The sequence below is a fragment of the Homo sapiens genome, chromosome 7 (genome assembly GCF_000001405.40).
Source record: "Homo sapiens chromosome 7, GRCh38.p14 Primary Assembly".
Taxonomy (NCBI): domain Eukaryota; kingdom Metazoa; phylum Chordata; class Mammalia; order Primates; family Hominidae; genus Homo; species Homo sapiens.
In genome coordinates this window covers 37,745,201-37,766,824 of record NC_000007.14, presented here as the reverse complement: position 1 = coordinate 37,766,824, position 21,624 = coordinate 37,745,201, and the positions used below count along the sequence as shown (strand labels likewise).

The 21,624-nt window shown below is 39.9% G+C and overlaps 1 annotated feature.

The window, feature by feature from the left end:
- Window positions 466-935: an enhancer, noted in NCBI's record as "active region_25862". NCBI's record gives its function as "activates an Ori minimal core promoter by ATAC-STARR-seq in GM12878 lymphoblastoid cells {active_cell/tissue: GM12878}" and the evidence as "EXISTENCE:reporter gene assay evidence [ECO:0000049][PMID:35858748]".

Genomic DNA, 21,624 nt, shown 5'->3' with positions numbered 1-21,624 from the left:
CAGTCCAGGGCTATTCCCTGCAAGCAGCAGAAACTTTGCCTTGGCTGACATTAAACAGAAAAGGAGGTTTTGCAAGGTTATTAGTTGGTTCACAGAATAATTGGGAAGATGCAGAACTAGTTTCTGAAAATAGGCATGAACGGAGGGCAGCCAGAACCACAGCCCAAATCAAGACTCAGAACTTGATCTTAGGGTGGTCAACGCCGCACTGCAGATGCTGCAGATTCCCCTGCAGTCACTGTTGACCCTGCACACTGAGGCTGAAACTGCCACCCCCAGACTCCAGCAGCAGGTGACCCACTTGCGCTGGTATGCTCAAAACTCTTTGCTGGTTTTAAACTGATAGTCTGGGCTCCTGAGAACCCCCTCTGTCTTCAGCAAAGCAGGACAGTTGGTCACACTAGTCGGAATAAATTCTCCACCATCCACGGCTCCCATGTTCAAGTGCTGGGCATGTATGTCTGATTAGGCCCTGCTGGGTCACCTAAGTTCTGGCTGCCAGAGAGATGAAGAGAGAGGGTCTGGCCATCTATCTTCCCTAGTGGGTGGCTGCCCCAGCTTTCCATCAGAGGCTTATAACTAAAACATAAGCAGACTACTTCTCAGTAATTTGAGTTAAATAGAGGAAACGGAACACAAAGAAAAGCAGCCAGGAGCAACAGGAACTGGTGGCTCTCCTTCTGAGGCAGCGTCCTGTGGTCAAAGGAGGAGGTGCTTTGCTGGGACTCATTTTGTTCATTCGAAAGTTGGAGAAAGGACTCTAAAGGAGCTCATGTAAGGAAAGTACCTAGCCCACATCACATGCTCAAATATTTCTTTCCCCTTTCTTCTGTTTTTCACTTTCTTTTCTCACCCCTTCATTGGAATCTGATGTCACTGCTGTAGAAACTAAACTGATTTACATTCTCTACCAACTAGCCATTATTAAAAATTCAAGTAATAATGTGTAGAACTCATCACTTACTAGAACTTATCAATTACTGTGTTTTATTTATTTATACTTTTGAAGTTACTTATGTCTTAGTTGCAAGTTGCGAGTTCTACATAATGCTGTGTCACTGCACATTTCTTCCCAAATCTGTGTTTGGTGACATCACTCGGATAGCTTGAAATTGGCCTGGTGGGAATTGGCAAATACTACAAATCAGGGCTCAATTTATTTTTTATTGACTGTCTAGACTTATGGAAGTGGTAGAGAAAATGTTGATAAAGCAGATTAAACTTAGAAGTGTGTTGTGTGTCTGTAGTTATTACACTGACCAGCACTGAAATGAAAAATACAGTTTTCTAGTATTCAACCACTATTACACAATTCAACAGGGAACTTGCTCACACCATGGACAAAACAGTGAATTTCCGAGACGTGAGTCTTCATTGTTTGACTTTTGTCTTACATGAGATAAACAAATGTGTCAACTAACTTATTCATCAGTTGCAAACAAAGGTTGGCTATAGATAAGAGTTTGGTAAAAATTAATAAAAGCATTCTGTGGGAACTAACTGGCTGTATGGAATTTATAATAAATAATATTGTGTATATAATATATATGCATATACACATACATACACACACACGCACATACATACACACACACACAGAGGTTTTTTTTAGGGAGAAGGGAACCAGTTGTTCAAAAATTACCAGTACACCACAGTGAGCTGCCCTCTTTAAACGTGATCTATCTTTACAATCATATTATTATTGTTGTTTTTAATTTTTATTTTACTTTAAGTTTCTGGATACATGTGCAGAACATGCAGGTTTGTTACATGGGTATACATGTGCCATGGTGGTTTGCTGCAACTATCAACCCGTCATCTAGGCTTTAAGCCCCAAATGCATTAGCTATTTGTCCTGATGATCTCCCTCTCCTCCTCCCCCTACAGGTCCCCATATGTGATGTTCCCCTCCCTGTGTCCATGTGTTCTCATTGTTCAACTCCCACTTATGAGTGAGAACATGTAGTGTTTGGTTTTCTGTTCCTGTGCTGGTTTGCTGAACAAGATGGCTTCTGGCTTCATCTATGTCCCTGCAAAGCACATGATCTCATTTGTTTTTATGGCTGCATAGTATTCCATAGTGTATATGTACCACATTTTATTTAACCAATCTATCATTGATGGGCATTTGGGTTGGTTCCATGTCTTTGCTATTGTAAATAGTGCTGCAATAAACATACATGTGCATGTATCTTTATAGTAGAATGATTTATATTCCTTTGGTTATGTACCCAGTAATGGGATTGCTGAGTCAAACGGAATTTCTGGTTCTAGATCCCTGAAGAATTGCCACACTGTCTTCCACAATGGTTGAACTAATTCACATTCCCACCAACAGTGTAAAAGCATTTCTATTTCTCCACAGCCTTGCCAGCATCTATTGTTTCTTCTGTCAGTTCATCCATGTCATCCTCCGTCCAGTTCTGTGCCCTTGCTGGAGAGGTGTTGTGATCATTTGGAAGAGAAGAGGCACTCTGGCCTTTTGGGTTTTCTGTGTTTTTTTTTATTTTTTCTCTTCTTCATAAGTTTGTCTAGTTTTGATCTTTGAGGCTGTTGATCCTTGGATGAGGATTTGTGGGGACTTTTTTGTTGATGCTATTGTTGTTGCTTTCTGTTTGTTTGTTTGTTTGTTTTTTAATAGTCAGCTCCCTCTTCTCTAGGGCTGCTGTGGTTTGCTGGGAGTTCACTTCAGGCCCTATTCATCAGGTTCACTCCCGTGCCTGGAGATGTCACTCGAGGAGACTGGAGAACAGCAAAGATGGATGCCTGCTCCTTCCTCTGGGATCTCTGACCTCGAGGGGCACCAATGTGATGCCAGTAGAAATGCTCCCATATAAGGTGTCTGACAACCTCTGTTGGAGGATCTCACTCAGTTGGATGGCATGGGATGCAGGACCCATTTAACGAAGCACTTTGGCTGTCCCTTGGTAGAGGGGGTGTGCCTCGCTGTGGGGAAACCTACTCCTCTGGGCTGCTCCGATTCCTCAGAACTAGAAGAACAAAAGACCAAGTCTGCTGGTCCACGGAGACTATGGCCACCCCTTCATGGGCTCAGGCCCAGGGAGATTAGAGTTCTGTCCCTGAGCCCCTGGTTGGAGTTGTTGGAATTCCTGCAGGGAGGCCCCACCCAGTGAGGAGGAATGGGTCAAGGTCAGGCCTGAAGAGGCACTTTGGCCGTAGTCTGCCACAGCCGGTTTGTTAGGCTGTGGCGAATACCTCTTGGGACCCAACCGTCCAGCCTCCTTGGCTCCAGCAGAGGAAAAGCGTGGCCTGGAGCTATAGAGATGGCTGCCGCCCTTCCCCTGCCCTGGGAGCATAGTGTGTTAGGCAGCTAGCATTCCCAGTGTTGCCTGCCGCCCCTCCTCCAAGGAGCCCAGAAGGCTTAGACAGCAGGCAGCTGCAGCTGTGGCGATGGCCTCCCCTCTCCTCAAGAACTGGGCAAGCTTAGGCAGATTCTAGCTGAGTGGCTGTTGAGAATCTGCATGGCTCCATAGTTGGGACGCTAGGCCACGGTGGCTTGGGTTCACGAGTGGGATCTTCTGATCTGTGGGTCGCTCAGTTGCATGGAAAAAGCACAGTTTCCCAGGCTGGGTAGTGTGCTCACTCACCACCTCCGTTGGCTGGGGGTTGAGGTCTCCTCCGCCCCTTATGGCTCTCAGGTGGGCCGCCCATCACACTGCTCTTCCTTCCTCTCCGTGGGTCACCCCAGCCTCCTACTCAGTCCTGATGACAGAACCTGGATATCTGGGTTGCCAGTGGAGGATTCGCACACTGTTTTGGTTCTTTTCAATGGAAGACTCTGACTGACACTGATTCTAGTCGGCCATCTTGGCCCTGCCCCCCAGTCATATTATTTTCCAAATCAAATAAAAATACATGATTGGACAGATTTATTTTCTGAATTGTAGAACTTTTTACATGAAAATGCTTACATACAATTAAATCATATTTAGTTTTATGTTTACTAGGTTGTCTTCATGAAAAAAATTGTCACATAAAACCAATACACAATTCTACATAAATTATAACAATGCATTACTTATTTGAATAATAATAATGTACTATATTATGAAAATATAATCAGAAAGACTTAGTGTTTAGCTTTTGCTGTGTGATATTGGGCAAATTATCCTGAGTATCAATTATCTCATCTATACACGCAATTAATGATATCACTCTCTCATCCTTTTATTCAAGTCTTTTAAAATAATTTCAACTTTTGTTTTAGATTCGGGGGTAGGCGGGCAGGTTACTTACATGGGTATATAGGATGATGCCAAGGTTAGGAGTACGAATTATCTCAACACCCAGATAGTGATTATAGTACCCAATAGGCAGCTTTCCAGTCCTTCTCTCCCTTTCCCCCTCTAGTAGTCCCCAGTAACTATTGTTCCCATCTTCATGCCTGTGAGTTCTCAGTGTTTAGCTCCCACTTATAAGTGAGAACATGCAATATTTGGTTTTCTGTTTCTGTGTTAATTCACTCAGGGTGATGGCCTCCAGCCACATTCATGTTCCTGCAAAGACATAATTTTATTCTTTTTAAAGAATGTGTAGTATTCCATGGTATACGTACCATATTTTCTTTATCCAGTTTACTGTTGATAGGTACCTAGGTTGATTCCATGTCTTTGTTATTGTGAGTAGTGCTGCAGTGAACATGAATGTATGTGTCTTGTTTGTAGAAGGATGTATTTCCCTTGAGTATATACCCAGTAATGGGATTGCTGGGTAGAATGGTAGTTTGTTTTTTATTTCTTTGAGAAATCTCTAAACTGCTTTCCACAGTGGCTAAACTAATTTACATTCCCACCAAGAGTGTATAAGCTCAACAAATATTTATTGAGTACCTACCATGTACCTCACACAGCACAGAGTGCATTGAACAAGACATGGTCACTGTTCTCAAGGAGCAGATGATTTCATGTCATATGAATTTTTTTAAATAATATGTAGAGTGTCAAACATGGCAGGCTCTCAGTAACAGTTGGTTTCTTATTTCCTTCTCATTTTTCCAGTCATCCAGGTCATATGGTCTTCAAAACTATGTACATTTTGCCCTCCCTGTGCTATTAAAGAACCTATAACTTTCTTCCCTTTGACAATCTTAATCATAAGATCACACACACACACACACACACACACACACAAATTGGAGAACAAAAATGTTTCTTCTGCAACTTGTCCTCTGACCTAATAAACCCTAAGTGTCAGAAGCAGAGAAGAGAAATTCAAAAATCAACTAAATTAAGAGCTGAAATAATACAGAAGACACTGTTTCCCTAGAAGCTGAAAGTGATATTTTCCTTATTCCTCTGTGAGTGAACTTAGCTGGCCCCCTGAAGTCTTTCCTGGCCAGAAATTAATTGTCTGTGTAAGTTCCCTTTCTTATCCTCAATTTCTATCTCAAAGTAGAGCTATTCTGAGCTTGAAGTTTTATATGCGTCTGGTTTTGCCACAAAGGAAATTAAATCAGCACCTGGTAGAGATATCTGCACTCTCACATTCATTGCAGCATCATTCACAATAGCCAAGTTATGGAAACAACCTAAGTATCCATCAATGGATGAATAGATAAAGACATTGTGGTATATATCTACAGCGGAATATTCAGTGGCCTTATAAAAAGGAGGAGACACTGCTACTTGCTACCACATGGATGAACCTGAAGGACACTGTGCTAAGTGAAATAAACAAAATCACAGAAAGAAAAATACTACATGATCTCACTTATATGTAGAATCCAAATGAAAGTCAAATACATAGAAACAGAGAGTTAGAATGGTGGTTATCAGGGGCTGGAAAGAAAAAGAAATGGGGACATGCAGGTCAAAGAGTCCAAATGCTATGATGTATGCTGAACAAGTCTAGAGATCTGATGTACAGCAGGGAGACTACAGTTAATAATATTGTATTGTATATTGAAAATTTGGTAAGGGGGTGAATTTTATATTAAGCATTTAAAATGAAAATGTTTACATATAATTAAATCACTTTAATTTTATGTTTACTAGATTCATCTTAACTGAAAAAAATTGTAACATGAAAGTAATACACTATTCTACATAAATTATAACATTTAATGCATTATGTATTTGAATGAGGCATGTCTCTAGATAATGTACCATAGTACAAAAATGCAATCAGAAAGACAGTGTTTTGCTTATGCTGTATGATATTGGACAAATTATTCTAAGTATCAGTTATCTCATCTATACATGCAATTAATGATATTTCTCTCTCATCCTTTTATTCATCACTTTTAAAAATAACTTCAGCTTTTATTTTAGATTCAGGGGTACATGTGCAGGTTTGTTACATGGGTATATAGCATGATGCCAAGGTTAGAAGTACAAATGATCCCATCACCCAGATAGTAAGTATAGTACCCAATAGGTAGCTTTTCAGTCCTTCTTGCCCTCTCTTCCCGTTTCTAGCAGTCCCCAGTGTCTATTGTTCCCGTCTTTATTTCCATAAGTGCCCAGTGTTTAGATCTGACTTATAAGTGAGAACATGCAGTATTTGGTTTTTTGTTTCTACTTTAATTAACTTGGGATGATGACCTCCAATTATATCCATGTTCCTGCAAAGGACATGATTTTATTCTTTTTAAAGAATGGGTAGTATTTCATGCTATAAAAGTAAAGGTACTCCAAGTTAAGTACCTATACTTTACTTACCTGTAATAATAAATTCACTACATGTATGAATACCTCATGTTGTGCACTATAAATATATACAATAAAAAATGAATCAACTTATTAGTTCATTAATGAAAACACAGTCATATTTCCTCCAGTATTCAAACTGTAATGACAATGTCCCCAAGCACATGGTTGGAAAGTGAGATTTTATTCTGGACTTCTATCCAGGTCATGCTAAGACTCTCTACTGTAGTTTATACTCCTGAATAATCAGCTCTCCTTGGTGTTTCCCTGCTGCTGCCATCTGTCTGGAGAACACAAAACCAGCTGTGCCCACGACAGCTGATCTCTAATCTGCTCACTTCTGGGCAGGTGGTGCAAGCCCCGTGTTCTGCTGGGACCCAGCGAGCAGTAAGCCAGTGTGATCCCACAGCTCTAAGCTGGGCTCTGCTTGCCCAAGGAATCACCATGGTAACCAAGGCCCAGCCATCCTTGCACAGCTGGCACTCCAGCAACCCTGTGTAATATGCTGTCTACAGCATTGATCCTTCAATGTTTCTCTGTAACAGATGAAAGTGTTTGACTCTTTAATAGTACACTCGACCAGGGGTGTCCTACAGCAACAGCCACAGGACGCAACACCCAACAGTTCTGGGCTCTGAGACAACAGCTCTTTGAGTTTGCATACATGCAGCTATCTTCCCAGTAGAAGATAGGAGGAAAGAGTAAAATAATGGGAACTGCATCAGGAAAGGGTACGGTACAGCCACAAATTGTGTCTTGATCCAGCCTTTTTCTGAGAATATCTAGGCTCTGGGTTACATCCAAATCACTCATTTAGATCCCTCCCTGATGGTGAGTTTCCTCCTAGGGTACCCTGTTGACCTTTCTTGGTAGCTGGTTTTATTTGCCACCCTTCTAATGCATCAAACAGATTCTAGTTAATTATTGTAAACTTCAGAGATGATATTTGTGTTCTATTTCTCTTTCTTCCAGAAAAGTCCTTGGCTTCTAGGAAAAAACATAAAGCAGAATCAAATCAATACATAAGAGATACATTTTGCCTAACCATACACAGCAAGGTTTCTGTGTCCCAGACTCCTGCTAGGCTGACATGGATGACACATTCTTCTTTCAGAACAGTGAGTGGGGTACTTGATCTACAGCAACATCACTAAGAGGGACCATTGAGAGCAAAAGGGTCTATTTCAGTAGGTACAAAACTTCAGGTACAAAAATATAAAGTCTGCTCATCTCCAGCCTTAGCGAGAAAACTGCTTTCAATGGAAATGTGAGCTTCTCAGCCTGCATTTAAGTTCCATCTGTTATGACATCTTTTCCATGTGTTCCAACATGTTCCCTGGAAGAGGAGAGGGCAACGCAGAATTACAGCTATTCCACAGGGAATATCCTCCAGCCTCCAGCCTCTGTGTGCTTTACTGGGAGAGATAGTGTACCACGTGTGAGTACTATCCATCACAGAATAGGGAAGAATAGTTGAGAATGACTGTGCAGAACTACATGCACCTGCCTGTTCACTCACTCAATGCTGCATGTGTCACCCTTGCCTACATGGGCACAGAAAATATTTCTAACAGGTAGTTTGTCAAATATTTTTTTGTCCCCAAATTTAGTCAAATTCAGAGAATATAACTGGGCTCCTGTCTGAGATGACTGTCCAAATGTTCTTGGACATCGCTAGACTGCAGTTGAACTAGGAAAGCAGGCCCATCTCAACCTTTGCCCTCCTGATCCTGACACTTGCCTCTCTCCACTGTTTCTTCCTTAGTAACTAGCCCTCATGGACTCCTACTCAGAACCCACGTTCCAGGCACTCGCAGTGATTTTCTGTCAAAGTCAGCCTCCAGCGAGGATTAGTTTCTTCACACTGAAAGAAAAATGACTGGTCTGACCAAGTGCTGCTCTTCCCAAAAGCCCAAAAGAATGCCAAGGAGAAGAATGAGAATCTGAGAGCTCCCCACTCTCCAAGTTATACTTGCAGATACATCTTATTACTTTGGAGAAAAGCAAATCATCAAGACTGAGAGTTACACAAATTCTATTTCTTCCAAAACTCTGTAGCTTTAATCAAGGCATGCTGACACTAGATGATGTCTGGTTTATGGCACCACAAAGTTAAATTAAATTAAATGATTAATTTACACTAGATTAAATATTTAACTGCTATGACCACATGGCAGACTTTGAAATAAAGATTGTTTCAGCAACAGCCCCTGCCTTCAAGGAGCTCATGATCCAGAAGACATATAAGCAAATACATAAGAGCAGAGTATATCAAGTACCTGCCAACAAGTGCACATAAGGGACTGATGACTAGAACCACAGAGCCTAGGGAGGGTGCAGCCAGGTTTGTGTCCTACTAACACTCTGTGGAAGTACTGCCGTCCCTACCAATTATCTTTTGGTTTTGACAAAAGTGATGACGTCGCTGTGGTAAGAGCTAATCAGCCACCTCTGAGAGCACTGGTTAAAAATCAGGTCAAGGCTGGGTGAGGTGGCTCTTGTCTGTAATCCCAGCATTTTGGGAGGCCAAGACAGATCACCTGAGGTCAGGAGTTTGAGACCAGCCTGACCAACTTGGAGAAACCCCATCTCTACTAAAAATACAAAATTAGCTGGGCGTGGTGTCCCATGCCTGTAATCCCAGCTACTCAGGAAGCTGAGGCAAGAGAATTGCTTGAACCCAGGAAGTGGAGGTTGCAGTTAGCCAAGATCACACCATTGCACTTCAGCCTGGGCAACAAGAGCAAAACTCCATCTCAAAAAAATAAAAAGAAAAAAAAATCATGTCAAATGCTGCACTAGTGCATGGCCAGAGAAGACAAGGCTCTGGCTGTGGGGCTTCCCCTGGAGGGCTCCCATCATGCGTGGCAATGCCAGGGGACTCTTCCACAAGGGGCCCAGATGATATTCTTTTACCTCACTTTTATCTGAATATCCTTATTTTAAAACTTCGGTTATTTGTTCTATTTCTGAAAATATTCACTTAAGCACCTAGGAAATATATTATTGAAAAGAAAAAAACACAAAAATGAAGAAATTGTATTGAATCTAGTTACACTTCAAAACTAAACCTTCTCTGTGAAGCTCAATTCTCTCTCCTCATTCCAACAGAGAGTAGTCATGTGATACCACCTCCTTCCAACTGAAAACCACCCTCTCTCCTTATCTGTGACTACGGTTTACTGTCACTAGACACCCAGCCCTCACAGCAAAAAATATCCCTTGGCAGATCGAATGAGATTACCTCATGGTCAACATTCTTTCAATTCTGCTTTTAATTGTTCACCAAAGGTGGCAATTGCACCATTAAATTCACCTTTTCCAAGAGTGAATAGATTGCTTTCTTAAACCTTAAAATATTACCGAAGTCATACACATTTACTACTTTAAAGTCCACAGGAGTAAAGACATTCAGAAAAAAAAAAAAAGCCAATCAGAATCAACTGTGAGTACAGCTAAAATCTCAATTTAAATTCTTCTCGATAACTTTACATGTAAAGATAAACACACACACTGTATTTGTCATATGCTTAGTTTCCTGAATAATACACAAAGAACATTTTTTTCATAGAAAGAAAAGTTCAGCAGCACCATTTTTAGGACTGCATAATAAAATAAAACACCTATGGATAATAGGCAGGGTTGCACAGATGAAGGAATGATCAGCTCTTCTTGAAGGAATGAATTCTGTTCTGGGTTTTAAAGGACAGTCAGCAATTTGCTGGGCAAACAATAGAGACCACTGTTGGCAGCAGAGAAACAAGACAATGGCGTGTGCAAAGTCACTGAGGCGAGAAAACATGTGAAGTGCTTTGGGAGTTTTAAAGAAACTTCATAATGCTAAAACATAAGAAAGTTGTAAGTGATGATTTTCTTTCTAGAAAAGTAAGTAAGGTTTTTTAGTTTGATGTAGCCCTACTTGTTTATTTTTGCTTTTGTTGCCTGAACTTTTGGTGTCATAACCCAAAACTCACTGCCAAAGCCCATGTAAAGGAGCTCATTCCCTATCTTTTTTTCCAGGAATTTTACAGCAAGTCTTACACTGAAGTCTTTAATCCATTTTGAGTTGATATTTGTGTATGGCGTAAGATAAGAGTTCAATTTCCTTTTTTTGCATGTGCATACCCAGTTCTCCCAATAGCATTTATTAAAGAGACTATCCTTTCTCTGTTGAGTATCATTGGTTTCCTTACTGAAAGTGAGTAGTCCTTATATGTTTGGACTTATTTCTGGACTCACTATTTTGTTCCATTGGTCTAGATGTTTGTTTTTATGCCAGCACCATACTCTTTTGATCACTATAACTTTGCAGTATAATTTGAAATCAAGAAGTGTGATGCCTCCAGCTTTGTTCTTCTTGTTCAAGATTGCTTTGGCTATTTTGGGTCTTTTGTGTTCCATTTGAATTTTAGAATTGTTAAAAATGTCATTGCAATTTTGAATAGGAATGCGTTGAATCTACATACTGCTTTGGATGAACATTTTAATGATTAATTCTTCTAAACCATGGACAAAGGATATATTTCCATTTATTTCTATCTAAGGACTGGGGGAATATATTTCTAAACAATATATCTGATTGGGGTTAATATCACAAATATATAATAAATGCACATAACTCACTAACAACAACAACAAAAAAACTCAAGTGGTTTAAAAATGGGCAAAGGACCTGAATAGACATCTTTTAAAAGAAAATATACAAATGACCAACAAGTATATAAAAAGAAGCTCAACATTACTAATCACCAGGAAAATGCAATTCCAAATCATATGACCTCACACTCCTTAGGATGGCCGTTACCAAAAAGACAAAAGATAGCAAGTGTTGATGAGGGTGTGGAAAAAAAAGGGAACCTTTGTACACTATTGGTGGGGCAGCTATTATGGAAAACAGAATGGAGATTCCGTAAAAAATTAAAAATAGAAATGCCATATGACCCAGTAATCCTTCTGTTGGATATATATCCAAAGGAAACGAAACCAGCACATGATAGAGGTACCTGCACTCCCATGTTCACGGCAGCCTTACTCATAATAGCCAAGCTATGGGAACAACCTAAGTGTCATTTGGTGGATTCATGGACTAAAATGGTGGATTTATGGATTAATATTAAAACTAATATATATATACACACACACACACACACACACACTATATGTGTGTGTGTGTACAGAATAGAATGTTATGTGACCTTTAAAAAGGAGATACTTCCATTTATGACAACATGGATGAGACATTAAGTAAAATAAGCCAGACACAGAAAGAAAAATATTGTATAATCTCACTTATATGTGGAATTTTAAAAAGTTAAATACATAGAAATAGGGATGGGGAGATAGTTGAAATGGGGAGATGTTGGTCAAAGGGTACAAAGTTGCTATTCTGTAGGATGAATGTTTAGAGATCTAATGACTAGCAGGAGGACTCCAGGTAATAAATCTGTACTGTATATGGAACATTTGCTAAGAGAGTAGATTTTAGGTTCTCTCTCCATAAGAAAAATAAAGGCAACTCTGTTTGTAGATGGGTATGTCAATTTGCTCAACTATAGCAATCATTTCACTATGCATGTGTGTAAGCAAACGTCATGCTGTACACTTTAAATAAATGCAATTTAAAAAAAAGAAAAAGCAGGCAAGGGCCAGATCAAGTTATGGAGGTCATAATGAGGAATGTGGGCTGTATCCTGCATGTCATTACTTTCTAAACTTCTTTTGAGTTGCATACTGACTTTGAAAATCTAGTGAGATCTATGGATTCTAAACCCTGAAAATACAGGCATACGAGGTACACACAAACATTTACAAATAATTTAGGAGAATCAGAGGCCTCTGAAGTTAAAACCAGTGAAGTGTTTTAGGCAGCGAGGTGACAAAGTTACATATGTCCCTGATTGGTTTCTAGTAATAATGCTTAACTGGGTTATATTCGGTTCCACACACATCCTTCAAATAGCTTTGTCACCTAAAAGAGAAAAGTAAACATACTGTGCAATCTCTAATGGCCATGTATAACAGTGATTTGTCATTTGGGATATGTAAATTCACAAAATAAAAACTTATACACTAAGAGATCTCTTTCTCTTAAACACTAACAGAAACGCAAAATATAACCCTGTTCTTTAATTCTGCTACGTATATCTTGAAACTTTTGTCTTTAATTATTATCATCCTCTATAAATATTCATAGACCTCCTAGCAGAGCACTCCTCTAAATCATGTAGATAAAAGGGGAAAAGGGATTTTGTTCCTGCTCCTGAAAGAAGTAAAACTTTAGAAAGTCTGTAATGCTTTAAATCAGAATCTTTACCCAGCCTTAGCTCATAGTTATCTCAATTCCTTGGCAAAGTTCAGCTGTCATTGAGAAGGAGACTTGACTTCTTTTCTAGATGGTTTCTGTTTTCCTGTAGCTTTGTTGTGATTTTTTTTTTTTTTTTTTTTTTGGTAACCAGAGGTTTTCCTCTGCCTGTCTTGCATAGAGACAGAGCACCAGCTTTCAGCCACATATACCTGGGCATAGCCACATCCATGTCTCTGCCAAATTTTATCCCTGTGTCCTCAGACTAGTCACTTAACTTCCCTGACTCCTATTCTTAGCCTTGGAATAAGTGGATGATAAGACCTATGCTTGTTGTTATGTTACTGTGAACATGTGTAAAAGTAGTACATATAGTTTTTAATAGAAGACTCCTGATTCATCAATGAAACAGGAAACAGCAATAGCAGCAGCAAAAACAACAATGTACCAATAAATGTGCTATGAGTAGGCCATCATCCACCTTTCCTATGCCCATACCACAGCTCTTTTTCCCACCTGAACTCAGAGAATCGTTGCAATTCTTCTCAACAGAGGAGTCCAAGCAGACAATACCATTCTAATGTAACTGGTCCTCAGGTTGAAGATTCTTTGATATCCTGAGCAGCTGATTCAATCACAAAGCCTCACAACACAGGACAAGCATCAACTCCTTCCCTAAAGTGCACATCTGCTCGGGGATAGGCTCTCCTCTCTTCCTTATTACATTTAGGTTATTGAAAAAGTAATTGTGGTAAGTAATTACTTTTAATGGCAAAACTGCAAGTTACTTTTGCACCATCCTAATACCTTTTGTTTACGTAGAAATGTTATTAATTTTTTAAATTAATCAAATTCACTGAGAGAGAGACTCTAATTATGATTCCCACAACAATTCTGTCAAAATTATTAAAACAAGAACATAGCCTATTAAGGCCTAAGGCACTCCCGAAGTTTATGCTCTACTGGATCAATTCGCAAAGTCAAAAAGAGTCATTACAAACCCATCAGAATTACAGAATTTCCCCAAGCACATAATTTATCATCTCTGAAAGAATCATTTTTAAATCATCCAAAAGAAACCAAAAAAACCATTTTATTAATGAAAAGAACTTTTCAAAGAAGCGAAACCATGATGCTTTTATCTGAATACAGGCTGTATATGCTAAGCTGCTCAGTGACGGGCAATTCACTTAGATATCTACTCTGCTTTATGGCATTGTGCATATGGGCTGGCACTGTTTCCACACCTCACAAATACCATCTCACTTGAGATCTGGAACCAAAATACCTCTGTCCCATAAACAACGCCATAGAACATACTCTCCTGCCCCAGTGCTAACCAAATCTGAGACAATATATTCTCCCTGTTTCTTTATTAATCAATACTGAGAACAAACAAAACACACTTAGCTACTTGCTCCTTGAAACACTTGCTTGTAGAATATAAGACTGTAAGCCAACCCAATCACTTATTCATTAGGACTAACAGCTTGCTAACTTAATTCATTTTACCACCCTCACCCTACTGTGTCCATCAAAGCACAGCTGTTTCATAAACTCTGTCCAATCCAAACCTTAATAGACACTCTTTAAAATCTCCCAGGCTGGCCTGTGGTCCTATAAATATCCTGCCCTAATTGCTCTTTTTAAGAAACTACTTAGACTCCATCAAGAGATGGCTCTGCTTGATCAAGAAGTCTTTCTTATGGTTTTTTGAGGAGATATCATCCAACCTGGTGAATTTTCACAGTAAGCTTGGGAGAGTTAAATGTTTTAAACTATCATCTTAGAGAAGAAGAATTTGAGGTTCTTAGATATTGAGAAACTGACTCAAACTTTATATGCTAAAAAATGGCAGATCATGGGTTCAAATCAGTGTTGAAAAGCAGGAATTCATTCCTTTACCCACTTTTTTATTCTTTCAACATATGTTTATTGAATGCCATTAAACCTTAGCTCACAATAGCCAGGCAAAAATAATTTCCTTCTTTATGACACTTAAATTCTAGTGGACAAAAATTTAATTAATTCTTGTTAATTAAGAATACTTAACATAATTTGTGGTAATAATAAATGCCAAAAAGAATATAAAGTAGCCAGGTGTGGTGGCTCATGCCTATAATCCCAGCACTTTGGGAGACCAAGGTGGGGAGGATCACTTGAGGTCAGGAGTTCAAGACTAGCCTGGCCAACATGGTGAAACCCCATCTCCACTAAAAATACAAAAATTAGCTGGGCGTGGTGGTGTGCCCTTGTAATCCCAGCTACTCAGGAGGCTGAGGCAGAAGAATCTCTTGAACCTAGGAGGTGGAGGTTGCAGTGATCCGAGATCGCACCACTGCACTCCAGCCTGGGCAACAGCATGAGACTCTATCTCTGAAAAAAAAAATATATATATATATGTATATGTATATATTATATATATATATATAAAATAGTATAAAAAGTAGGGAACAAAAAGCTACAATTTTACATAGAGAAATAGAGAAATCAGGACCTTCTTTGCAGAGATGACACTGGAGCAGTTATGAATGATACAGAGGAACCAGCTATTTGAGGAAATGTTCCCATCAGAGATAACAGAAAATTCAAAGCTTATGAGGCAAAAACAAAGGAACAGAAAGAAGTTGACTGAGAGACAGGCAAGGGTCTGATCATGGCGTTTACATTTTCATCTGAGTGAGATCAAAAGCCACAGGAAAAATTTTAGTGGAGACTATCATGATTTAACATCAGTACTATAAATTAGTATAACATTGAATTTATACTTTCACACGATGTATGGCTAATGTGCAGAGAACTGACCACAGTGCAGCGAAAGTGAAAACAGGGAGAGGGAGAATGTTGTACTAGCCTGAGAAGGTAGTAGCAGTAGAAATGGCGAGAAGTGGTCAGATGAGAGACACGCTTTAAAGCAGAGTCATCGGTATTAGAAGATACAGCATACGTGGTGTGGGTGTAAACAAAAGAAAGGCTATCCATCCATATATTGTCTTCGGCTCCAAATCCACCCTCTACTGCCCTGCCATGAAACTAGCACGTTTCTCCCTTACCAATGGGTGGGATGCTAAACTAATCTTCATCATTACAAGGCGCTGAAGCAGCACTTGGGGAAGAATAGGCTTTTCTCCCTGGCTCTGGTACCTGCTTTCTCGTAGCAGGCTCCTGCCTAATGCACGCAATGCATGTGGCCTCCTCGTGGACAGCCATCCCTGCCCTTCAGAGAGCAGCTTCCAAAGGCATTCGGTTCCTTGGGCAGATGCCCAGCATGGCCTGAGATGCAGTTTCTCCCCTTGGACAGCTTTTTCTAATACCCCTATGAGTGGCTTTTCAGCAAGTTCCATCAGCAAAGCACCTTTGTGAACTTCTCCATCATCCAGGGGACCCACCCTTTCCTGCAAGGTCTGCATTTCAGTGCTGGGTGTGTGTGTATGTGAGGTGGGCTGGTGGGGGTAAGGAGGCGGATTCCTTACCCAGGTTGGTTTTTCTTTGCATGCTTTGCCTCTGATCTGAAGATAGTGGCTGCTGGCTACATCTCCTACTCTTGTATTCTTTAGACATCTCTTTACCTCTTAGTAGCTAATCTCTCAACACTTCAATCTCCTTTTATAGCTAATGATTAAACTTTCCCTGTTTAAATCACCAAGCAGTTTCTGTCTCATAATTGGAACCCGATGGACACAAAGGGCATTGAGCATAACTTCTTGGTATTTGGTTTGAGCTAATGGGTAAAAAGTGATGCCATTTTCTGAGATGGGGAAGGCTGCTGAGGGGAGGAAATCCAGTGTTTTGCTCTGGTGAAATTAAATTGAAGTTGCGTATTATTATAAGCAGAGGCTTCAAGTGTAGCTGGAATCTAGGAGGGAGGACAGAGTGAGAGATATAAATTGGTGAAGATCAGCGTACAGATCACATTCAAAGCCACAAAACTGGTAAGATGTTTTAGGGAGGTGTGCAGAGAAAGGCAGGAAGGTTGCTGAGGATGAAGCCCTGTGCACTCCAACCTTTAGAAACTGGGAAGAAGAGGATGAATAGCAAAGAAATGGAAATGGAACACCTAATGAGGTAGGAGAAAACCCAAGAGCAGGAGACATTTTAGTAATTAAATGAGGAAAGTATTTCCATAAAAAGAGATTTCTCAACTGCATCCTACCCTACTTTGAGATTGAATAAGGTGAAGACTCAAACTTAACCATTGAATTATATAATTGATACCATTAATTACCTTGACAAAATTGGTATGGTGGAGTGGGGCATAAAGGAAACTATGGAACTGGGCCAAGGGAATAATGGAAGGTGAAGAACTGGAAACAGAATGCAGCTTTGGGAGGCCAAGAGGGGCGAATCACCTGAGGTCAGGAGATCGAGACCAGCCTGGCCAACATGGTGAAATCCCGTCTCTGCTAAAAATACAGGAATTAGCCAGGGGTGGTGGCTGGCGCCTGTAATTCCACCTACTCAGGAGGCTGAGGCAGGAGAATCACTTGAACCCAGGAGACAGAGGTTGCAGTGAGCCAAGATGACGCCATTGTACTCCAACCTGGGCAACAAAAGCAAAACTTCGCCTCAGAAATAAAATAAAATAAAATAATGTGGATGTTACCTTCAAGGAGTTTTCTTGTAGAAAACTTATAAAGGGAGGCAAAGCAATAGCATGGCATTTACTGGAGATGATGGGAGTGGTTTTGTTTCATTAATACTGTATCATTTATGCAGACATGGGTAGTTCAGTAGAAAGAGAGAAAATGATGGTGCAGGAGTCTGAGGCCACAGTAGCAGAGGCAAAGTCCTGAGTGGACAAGAGAGGATGAGGTCTGTGGAATAAGTACGTATTTATATACCAACACTCAAGATTTGGTAGTTTCATAATTTTGGAGCATTTTTACTTCAAAAAATTATCTGCATTGATCTTTTAGCATAGTATCTTATATTTAAATGTATTTAAAGGTTTTGTGGTTTTAAAGCATTAGAGCAGACAAAACTTATTAATATCATGCAGTAGAGTTGCTTTGATCATTTGCATTTAGCTCAATAAATCTGAAGTGAATATGTGAACACTCATATTTTCAAGTAATTCTGCATGACTCTCCTGGCAGGCTGGATGTTATTCTCATCATGCCCTTCTGTGAATTTACTCACAACACAATTCATGGCATACACATTTTTACTCTGTCAGGTCTTTTTAAAAACATTCAAGGCCAGGCGCTGTGGTTCACGCCTGTAATCCCAGCATTTTGGGAGGTCAAGGCAGGTGGATCACCTGAGGTCAGGAGTTCGAGACCAGCCTAGTCAACATGGTGAAACCCTGCCTCTACTAAAAATACAACAATTAGCCAGGCGTGGTGGCACACATCTGTAATTCCCGCTACTCAGGAGGCTGAGGCAGGGGAATCACTTGAACCTGGGAGGCGGAGGTTGCAGTGAGCTGAGATCGTGCCTTTGCACTCCAGCCTAGGCGACAGAGCAAGACTCTATGTCAAAAAAGAAAAAGAAAAAAAAAGAACATTCAAACAGACCAACTGGAACAAACTTCACTTTGATATGTTTAACATTATTGGTCTTTTAATATCCATAAAAGGTAGAATTAATTTTAATCATCAAATACATCAAAAGTCAGGACTTCGAGAGAAATTCAATGTGTGTTCACTTATTGATTTTTTACAAATAATTCCAATTGCATATAAAAATTTATTGTTTTAAAAACTTTGCCAGATATTTTTGGAGCAATGTGTCATCTGGGGTGACTTTACTGATAACAACAGCAGATATAGAACTCATTTTGTGTCCATGATATACCAAGACTGGCCAAAAGACATCTAAGGCCAAAGACTGGAAACTGACCAATATTGTCAAGAAAATTGTCTATGTGTGGTTCTTAGCACAACCACCATCTTGCAGATTACTTAATTATAATCTTATAAATGGTGCTTATAATAGTTCTAGTACATTATGATATAATACAAATAAAGTGAATTATAAAAATATGTCTCTGAATATATCATTAAATATGTTTCACTTTAAGAAAAACTCAGTGCATCATTATTGCATTTCTTATTTCCCTGGAAAAACAAAATTTTATTATGAATCAGCACCTCTCGTGTGTGGATTGAAGATTACTTAGAGGTTCACTGACATTGGGTAGAGGGGGTTTGTACACACAAAAAAAGGGCAGTTTCTTCACTCCAGAATCATTCTGGGTACACAGGGCTGACCACTTTACACAAGGGAATTAATAACTATACAAAAGAAACTGCAAAGTTAGTAGAGTTTTCCATAATCCCTACAGCCTCTCTCTTGCCCTTGGGCACTTAGCACCAGGAACTGGTAATCAATCTCCAATTTTTACATTTAAGTGGAAGCCTCTAAGAGCGCCTGATAATAAGGAGTTGCTGAGAAGAAGCCACTGACACAGTTGATAAGGAAAACTAAGGCCTGGTGATATCTTACTTAGGAATACAGGAATAAGGGGAAAAAACTACATGTGGCCAATAACCTGAACTGCTCAAATTGTAGAAAGAGCACGTCTGAAAAGAATTTTCTGAATGAGACGGAAAGGCATTGTAGACTGCACTGGTCAATTTTAAACCATTGATAAAACTCAAAATACATGTTTTCTATAGAACAGAGGTTAAATGTGCAATAAGTTAACAGGTTGTGATAAAAATGGAGATGAGGCAGAAATTTAATTTTAGGAAAGTTTAGGAAATAAGGTTGTGAAACTAAATATGCAATAAAAATTCAAATGCAAAGCAAAATTTTGAAGATGGTTGTGATAGGAGGAGAGAGACAATTATTTCAGAACAGATATCTGGCTCTCTTTCTAGTCTAACTAAGGAAATAGTGACATGGGAGCGGCTCTAAGCGGGAATGGAACGTGAGAACAAGAGGCCAGGGAAAGCTGCCTTCCTATTGTAAGAATCATGGAAGAAACATTTTTCTAGACTGAGTGCTGAATGGATCTTATTCTAAAAGGAAAGTTAGGTTTCGCCAGCAACTTGCCTCCTGAAAAGATAATTTGGCCTCAAGATAACCAAGTGGAGTTGCTCTCCTACCTGTGGAAGACCCTGGAGAGGGAGAAGCAATGGCTTTGGGATGATAAGCCCCGAGATGGAGAGGAAAATCCGTCTCAAGTTCCTTTGTTTACCCAGGGGCATGCACAGTAATTGCCTGCTTAGAGAGTTCTTAGCCATGATATTTTAAATCAAAATCCAATAGACATTGCTTCCCATTTTCTGGCATTAGGCTGTGAAGGAAAATACTTAATACCTTTCTAATTGTTTTTCTTTCTTTTAGAGGTAAACATTTCTCTTGCCTGGCTTTTTTTGTACTAATTCTTTGTTCTTAAAATTCAAAGCATTCTCCAAGGATATGTCCAGATGTGAAGTGTTTTCCATTTGCTTTCCCTATAGGTAGTCCCTTGATAGGAGGACTGAAGTCTTTCTATGTCTCAGACTAGCTTTTTTCTTTCTAATATTTTAACTTTCTCCATCAGCTCAGTTCTTGCCTATTAAAGTTTCTAAATATATATATATATAAATGTTATATATATAACTAAATATATATAAGATATATATATATCTTCTAATTTAAAAAATTGTTTATTGTGATAAATATGCATGACATGAAATCAACCATCTTAGCCGTTCTTAAGTGTACAGGTCAGTAGTGTGTCCCACTGTTAAGCACAATGCTACGAAAATAATGGAATTCTGAGAGGCAAAGGACAACTCAGAGAATGGGGTACCCAGCTGGGCTGTGGTAAGAAGTGTGCTGTGTTATACAGAATTGAACATCATTGGAGAGGGGGCCTAGATGTCTTTCCAGACCCTCCTGAGGGTGCCAGAGGCTGGTGTAGACTTTGGCAAGTGTCTACTCCTGACATGTAAGATGATGCTTTCCTGAAAACAGAAGGGAAACTCTTCAGACCCTTCTCTAAATTCCAAGGGATTCTTTTCTTACTTGACTTAAGGATGAGCTGGAGATCTTTATCCAAAATCTCTGATCAGGTTGCCAGTGGTTACATCTTTGTAACCACACCCTGTCCTCCATGAGATCTATGGCCCAGATCAGCAACAAAGGGCAGAAATAATTCATTGCTAATGACATAAACTATTAGGACAAACTGCAAATAAAATAAACCATGCTCGCCAGCACTTTCTTACCTCCTGTTCAAAACAGTCTTTGTTTGCTGCCTCCATTGCCCTGTCTTCCAAGAGCAGTCCTGTTTGCTCAGAACTCCTGAGCAAGACTCACACAAGCCCCTCCTGCTCTCAGCTAGCCGTTCTCAGACCTGGGTCTCATTTCCCCAGCAGCTCCTGCTGGGTCTTCAGATTCCCCTGGTTTCCAATACCCATGGGTGTCCCTTGGCATGTTGCAATCTCTGGGCATTATCCCCACAGTTCTGCCATCCCTGTGCCCCTTTACCATGGAGCTCTCAGTACCAACTGTCTACAGAATGCTGTAGTTGGCCCCTATAACAAGAAGAGCTTCCTTGTTCCTACCAGTACCAATAGGTGTGAGAGTCTTTGGCCTATGTCTGTCTCATAGAGGAAAGTGGGCAAAATCTATCCAATCAAAGCTATGACAGCATCCCAAATTCTAACTTCACACCAAAAGCCAATGACTGAGAATGGATTGGCCCAATACCCTCCTTCA